Here is a 7569-nt window from a genome sequence, read left to right as displayed (position 1 = left end):
AAGAGCTACCTGAGACAGGGTAATTTATGAAGAAAAGAGGTTTAATTCACTGACAGTTCTGCAGGCTTAACAGGAGGCATGGCTGGGAGACCTCAGGAAACTTATAATCATGCAATCATGGTGGAAGGCAAAGGGGAAGCATTCACGTCTTACCATGGCAGAGTGAGAGCAAGAGAGACAGAGAGAGAGAGAGAGAGGGAGAGAGAGCGAGTGGAGAGGTGCCACACCCCTCCCCCCCGGCTTTTTTTTTTTTTTTTTTTTTTTGAGATGGAGTCTCACTCTGTCACTCAGGCTGGAGAGCAGTGGTGTAATCTCGGCTCACAGAAACCTCTGCTTCCCAGGTTCAAGCGATTCTCCTGCCTCAGCCTCCCGAGTAACTGGGATTATAGGAACCTGCCACCACGTCCCGCTAATTTTTGTATTTTTAGTAGTGACGGGGTTTCACCATGTTGGCCAGGTTGGTCTCAAACTCCTGACCTCAGGTGATCCAATGGCCTCGACCTCCAAAATTGCTGGGATTACAGGCATGAGCCACTGTGCCCAGCCAGTGCCACACCCTTTTAAACCATTAGATCTCATGAGAACTCACTCACTGTGATTAGAACAGCATGGGGACACACCACCCCCATCATCCAATCACCTCCCAGCAGGGCCCTCTTCCAATTCGACATAAGATTTGGGTGGGGAAACAAATCTACACCACATCATGCCTATTCTGGAGGTTTCATATACATAGAATTATAAAACGTATGGTTTTTGTGTTTCATTTCTTTCACTTAGCATAATTTTTCAAGGTGTATCTATGCTGTAACTTTATTCTTTTTTTCTGACTAAATAATATTCCATGGTATAGACTTACCACATTTTGTTCATGTATTCATCAATTTATGACTATTTGGGTTTTTTCCAGTTTTTTGTTATTGTCAATAATACTGTCAATAATACAAATAATCACAAGTTTTTGTGTGGGTATAACTTCTAATTATTTTCAGTACATAACTGGGAGTGGAATTGCTGGGTAAGATACTTACTCTATATTTAACTCTTTGAGAACTGCCAAGCTCTTTTTCAGAATGGCTACTCTATTTTATATTTCCACCAACAATGTATGAGGGCTCCAGTTTCTCCACATCTTTGTAAACACTTGTTATTGTCTCTCTTCATTACAGCCATCCTTATGGGTATGAGTTGGTATCTCAAGATTTTCATTTGCATCCTCTTCATGACCAATGATGTTAAGATTCTTTCCCTGTGTAGTGGTCATTTATGTACCTTCTTTGGGGAAATAGCCAGTGAATATTTTGTCCATTGTTTAACTGGCTTATTTGTCTTTTAGAGCTCCAAAATTATTATTCTTGCATACTGAGACTTTGCAACCCTCCACCTAGGCCCTGGTAACTGCCATTCTAATCACTGGTTCATTAAATTTGACTATTTTAGATTTCACATAGAAGTGATATCATGCACTATTTGAGTTTCTGTGCCTGGCTTTTCTCACTTAGCATGTCCTGGTACATTCATGTTATCTCAAATAGCAGAATGTATTTCTTTTTTAAAGGTGACATACATTTCTTTAATATAAATAAATATATATGTGTGTATAATGAATAAAGAAAATGTGGTTTGTATATATATATTAACCACACACACATATGTGTATATACTAAATATATGTATTTTTGTGTGTGTATATATATATAATTACACTTTAATTAATTTATCTTTGGACAAGCATTTAGATTGTTTGCATATCTCAGCTATTGTGAATAATGCTGAAATGAACATAAAAGTGCAGATGTCTTTTTGACATATTGATTTTATTTCCTTTGGATGTATATCAGGAAAGAGATAGCTAATTATATAAGCTAACTTTATTTTTAACTTGTTGAGGAATCTCCATAATGTTTTCCATAATGGCTGTACCAACTTACATTCAATCCAGCAATGTACAGGGTTTTAATTTTCCACATCCTCTCCAACACATACTATCTTTCATCTTTCTAATTACCGCCATTCTAACAGGTGGGAGGCAATATTTCATTTTGGTTTTGATTTGCATTTTCCTGATGAGAATGAGTTTCAGAAACTTTTCATACACATCATGGCTATTTGTATGTCTTCTTTTGAAAATCTCTGTTCAGATCCTTTGCCCATTTTAAAATTTTGTTATTATTGTTATCTCTCTATTGGGTTGCATGTGTTTCTTATTTATATATTGGATATTAAAATTCCTTACCAGATAAATGGTTTGCAAATATTTTTTCCACTCTGTAGTTTGTCTTTTGACTCAGTCTATTGACTGTTCTCTCTGATGTGCAAAAGCTTTTTATTTTGACGCAATCCCATTTGTTTATTTTTGCTTTTTCTTGGTGTCATATGCAGAAAAATAATGACCCACCTCTCCCTCTCCCTCTCCCTCTCCCTCTCCCCCTCCCCCTCCCCCTCCCCCTCCCCCTCCCTCTCCCTCCACGGTCTCCTTCCACGGTCTCCCTCTGATGCCGAGCCGAAGCTGGACTGTACTGCTGCCATCTCGGCTCACTGCAACCTCCCTGCCTGATTCTCCTGCCTCAGCCTGCCGAGTGCCTGCGATTGCAGGCACGCGCCGCCACGCCTGACTGGTTTTCGTTTTTTTTTGGTGGAGACGGGGTTTTGCTGTGTTGGCCGGGCTGGTCTCCAGCTCCTAAACGCGAGTGATCCGCCAGCCTCGGCCTCCCGAGGTGCCGGGATTGCAGACGGAGTCTCGTTCACTCAGTGCTCAATGGTGCCCAGGCTGGAGTGCAGTGGCGTGATCTCAGCTCGCTACAACCTCCACCTCCCAGCCGCCTGCCTTGGCCTCCCAAAGTGCCGAGATTGCAGCCTCTGCCCGGCCGCCGCCCCGTCTGGGAAGTGAGGAGCGTCTCTGCCTGGCCACCCATCGTCTGGGATGTGAGGAGCCCCTCTGCCCGGCCACGACCCCGTCTGGGAGGTGTGCCCAGCGGCTCATTGGGGATGGGCCATGATGACAATGGCGGTTTTGTGGAATAGAAAGGCGGGAAGGGTGGGGAAAAAATTGAGAAATCGGATGGTTGCCGGGTCTGTGTGGATAGAAGTAGACATGGGAGACTTTTCATTTTGTTCTGTACTAAGAAAAATTCTTCTGCCTTGGGATCCTGTTGATCTGTGACCTTATCCCCAACCCTGTGCTCTCTGAAACATGTGCTGTGTCCACTCAGGGTTAAATGGATTAAGGGCAGTGCAAGATGTGCTTTGTTAAACAGATGCTTGAAGGCAGCATGCTCGTTAAGAGTCATCACCACTCCCTAATCTTAAGTACCCAGGGACACAAACACTGCGGAAGGCCGCAGGGTCCTCTGCCTAGGAAAACCAGAGACCTTTGTTCACTTGTTTATCTGCTGACCTTCCCTCCACTATTGTCCTATGACCCTGCCAAATCCCCCTCTGCGAGAAACACCCAAGAATGATCAATAAAAAAAAAAAAAAAAAAGAAAAATAATGACCCAGACCAATATCAAAAAGCTTTTTCTCTATCTGTTCTTCTAGTAGTTTTATGATACTAGGTCTTACATTTAAGTCTTTAATTCCTTTTTTAGTTAATTTTTCTATATGCTAGAGATAAAGGTTCAATTTCACTTTTCTACACATAGATATCCAGTTTTCCCAGCATTTGTTGAAGAGATGACCCTTTGTTTTCTTTCTTTCTCATTATTTTCCTCTGACTGGGTAGTTTTAAGTGATCTGTCTATGAATTCACACTGATTCTTTCTTTGCTTGATCAAGTGTGCTGTTAAAGTCTCTATTAATTTTTCTTCAGTTCAGTCACTGTATTTATCATCTCCAGAATTTGTTTGTTTCTTTTTTGTAATTTCAATCTCTTTGTTGAACTTTATATTTTGTAAATGTACTGTTTTCCTGATTTTTTTTTTTTTTAGTTGTTTATCTGCATTCTCTGGTAGCTCACTGATATTCTTTAAGGCAATTATTTTGAATTGTTTGTCTGGCAATTCCTAGATCTCAATTTCTTTGGAGTCAGTTACTGGAACATTATTGCGTTCCTTTGGTGGTATTATGTTTCCTTAAATTTAGGGGTTTCATGTAGTTTTGCGTCGACGTCTACATTTGATAGAACAGTCACCTCTTCTAGAGTTTACAAATTAGTTTCAGTGAGGAAGAACATTCACTTATAGGTCAGTACAGAAGCACTGGATGTGTGATACAATTCTGGCTCCAGAGAGAGTACTGCAGTGTAGTCTCTGTATGGTTCTGTCAGTTGAGGTTAGCATCAATAAAGACAGTACAGTTTTTGGCAGCTAGGGCTGCTGGGATCATACTATTCTGTCTTTGACCCTCATAGGGAAATCATCTTAGAAGATATTTCTCTTTGTTCTAGGTCTACCATGCAGTGGCAGGGTGGCAGTGTCAGATGTGTGAGTGATTGTGGAGTAACCATGAAACCTGGGACCAGAATGCACCAATACATGGAGTGACCATGGCTCCAGGGTTTGGGATGAGGGGATGCAGAGTAAGGCAGTGGAACTGGTTTCCGGGCAGCCATGGAGCTGGACTCTGGTGCTTCACAATTGTGTGCAGATGGGTTGTATGTGTGTGTATCAGGGTGGCTTTGGCCATCAGTGTTATAGCACCAGCTCCTTCTCCAAGGGTATTGAAGCAGTTTCAGTGGTTGTTGAGATCCTCAGTGGTGAAGGTTGCTCGGGTCCTTTGGAGACAGGCCATGGGGGATCATGGTGGATCTCATCACATGGCTGATACTGATCACTCTCATCCTTCTATTTTGTTCCTAGCCATCTCTAAATGTTTCATCTATGTCAGTGTCCCCAGCAATCTAGGTGGCGTGAAACTGGAATGAGTCCTTTGGGCAGTGTCCTGAAAGGTTAGGAAAGTTGATCACTCACTCTAATCTCTTTTTCCCTGGGAGGTGAACTCATGAGCTGGAGAGTTTGCTCAGTGCCGAGCTGTGTTTGCTTGGTCGATGGGATGATGCATAAAAAAACAAGCTGTTCTTTTTTTAATCCTTTCTGTGCTGTTATTCTCCTTTTGTTTTCCACTGTGTTGCTGCAACTGCTTAACTGTACTGCCTAACTCTCCAATAACTATTTTCATTAGTAATGATTTCCAATTGTTTTCTTTGGGGGAGACAAAGGATGAGATTTCTTATTCTACCACCTTCTGGATTTCACTTCTGCATTTATTTTTATATGTTGAAACAACCTTGTGTTTCTTGGATCAATTAGACTGGGTCATGGTGTACTAAGTTTTATACACTTTTATATGCTGCCAGATTCAGTTTGTTGGTATTTTGTTGAGAATTTTTGTTTCTATATTTATCTGGTATGTAAGATCTGTAGGTTATTGTTATTTTCATATATTTATTAGGATAACTTTGACTGTTTTGTTGTGTCAGGGTATTAATGACCTTATAAAATAAATTGGAAAGTATTCCCAGTGCTTTTTGTTTTGGAAGAATTTGCAAAGGATTTATGTTATTTTTAAATAAACTATTTGATCAAATTCACCAGTGAAGCCATATGGTACTGATTTTTTTTTGTAAGATTTTTAAAAATTGTGATTACATATTCATTGTATTTACAGGTAATAGGTCTATTCAGCTTTTCTATTTCTGCTTTAGTCAGCTTTGACAGTGTGTTTCTTTTCTATTTCACTAGATTATCTAATCGATTGTCATACCATTGTCTGAATCATTGCATTAGATTATTTTTGTTTCTGTACGCTGATATTAGTAGGGCTTTTTTAATACCCAATTTTGGCAGGATTTTTGTTGTTGTTGTTGTTGTTAGTCTAGCTAAAGTTTTATCAATTTTGTTGACCTTTATGAAGAACCAGTTTTTAATTTTTTTCTAATTTTGTTTTTTATTTTATTAATTTTTGAATCTAATCATTAGTATTTCTTATGTTAGCTTTGAGTTCATTTTACTGTTCTTTTTTAGTTTAAGAACACTTAGGTTTTTTATTTGTGTTCTTTCTTCTGTTCTTATACAGATCTTTAATACTATAAATTTCCTTCTAAGCACTGCTTTCACTACATTCCAGAAGTTTTGTATGCTGTTATTTTATTATCATCTTCTCAAAGCATTTTATTTTCCCTTTTCATTTCTTCTTGATTCATTCATTTTTTTGAAATAAGTTATTTAATTCCACATATTTGTGTATGTCCCAAGTTTTCTTTTGTTATGATTTCTAATTTTATTCCACTGTAATCAGAGAATATACATGATATAACTTAGCTCATTTGAAATATATTAAGACTTGTTTATGACCTACTCTATGGTCTATTCTGTAGAATGTTCCATGTGCACTTGAAAAGAATGTTTATTCTTCTGTTCTTCAGTGAAGTGTTTTATAAATTTCTCTTAGGTCAAGTTGGTTTATAGTGTTGTTCAAGTCATCTTTTTTTCTATTCTGTCTAGTTGTTCTATCCATTATTAAAAGTATAGTATGGAAGCCTCCAACTATGATTATTAAATTGCCTATTTCTCTTCTCAGATAATTAAATTGGGGTTCTATTGTTAGGTGCATATAGAGGGTAAAGCCCCTTATAAAGCCATCAGATCTTAGGAGAACTAACTCACTATCATGAAAACAGGATGAGGAAAACTGCCCCCATGATTCAATTATCTCCACCTGTTCCCTCCCACGACCTGTGGGGATTATGGGAACTACAATTCAAGATGAGATTTGGGTGGGGACACAGCCAAACTTTATCACACCCTCTCTCCTCTTTAGGTGACAACTCTCCTGGCATTAATATTAATTATTCCTTTTATTTCTTTATATTTTCACCATCCATTCATGTCCCTCTGCCATAGATAACTTAGTTTTGCATGGTTTGGAACTGTGTGGAAATAGAATATTCTGTACGTATTCCTCTGTGATTGTCTCTTTTCTGCAATATTTTCCTGTTGAGATGCATCTGTGTTCATTACATCATGCAGTTCATTCTTTACTGCTCTACTATTCTATTCTACTATTATGCTACAGTTAATTTGTCCAGTCTGCTATCAATGGTTATTTATCATTTTCTCATTTGGGGGAAATCTATGTTGAATAATGCTATTTGTGAACATATTTGTTGTGTATGTTTCCTGGGGTGTATATCCTGGAAGGAAATGCAAAATAGTGTTCATCAGAGAATGAAAAGTAGATTTACACTGCTGGAGCCTTCAAGGTGCATATATATGTGCGTGTGCATTTGTGTGCATGTGTGCATATGTGTGTGCATGTGTGTACACGTGTGTGTGTGTTGGAGAGGGCTGGGGGAATTGGTGTTGATAGAGAAGATAGAGGCAGTGACCAGTTCATAGAGGGTTTTTTAGGCCAATCTGAGAAGTTTGATCTTCTAGTTTGAAGTAGCCTGACACTCATGAAAGTGCCCGAGGCCAGGTATATGGACTTACACATCATCATTTCACAGATAGCATTGAGGTCTTGGCTGCAGATGATCTCCCAGGGACAGTTTAGGTAGACAGCAGGAAGCTAATCAATAGGACAGTCCTGGAACGGAAAGACGCATGAGGCAGACACAAGAAGGGCATT

The 7569-nt window shown here is 39.1% G+C and overlaps 1 annotated feature.

The window, feature by feature from the left end:
• Positions 2914 to 3531: an enhancer, noted in NCBI's record as "NANOG-H3K27ac hESC enhancer chr10:2848111-2848728 (GRCh37/hg19 assembly coordinates)". NCBI's record gives its function as "activates a minimal SCP1, AML or CMV promoter by ChIP-STARR-seq in primed H9 embryonic stem cells {active_cell/tissue: H9 hESC(primed)}" and the evidence as "EXISTENCE:reporter gene assay evidence [ECO:0000049][PMID:30033119]".

The sequence above is a fragment of the Homo sapiens genome, chromosome 10 (genome assembly GCF_000001405.40).
Source record: "Homo sapiens chromosome 10, GRCh38.p14 Primary Assembly".
NCBI lineage: Eukaryota > Metazoa > Chordata > Mammalia > Primates > Hominidae > Homo > Homo sapiens.
This window is presented reverse-complemented; position numbering and strand designations above follow the sequence as displayed.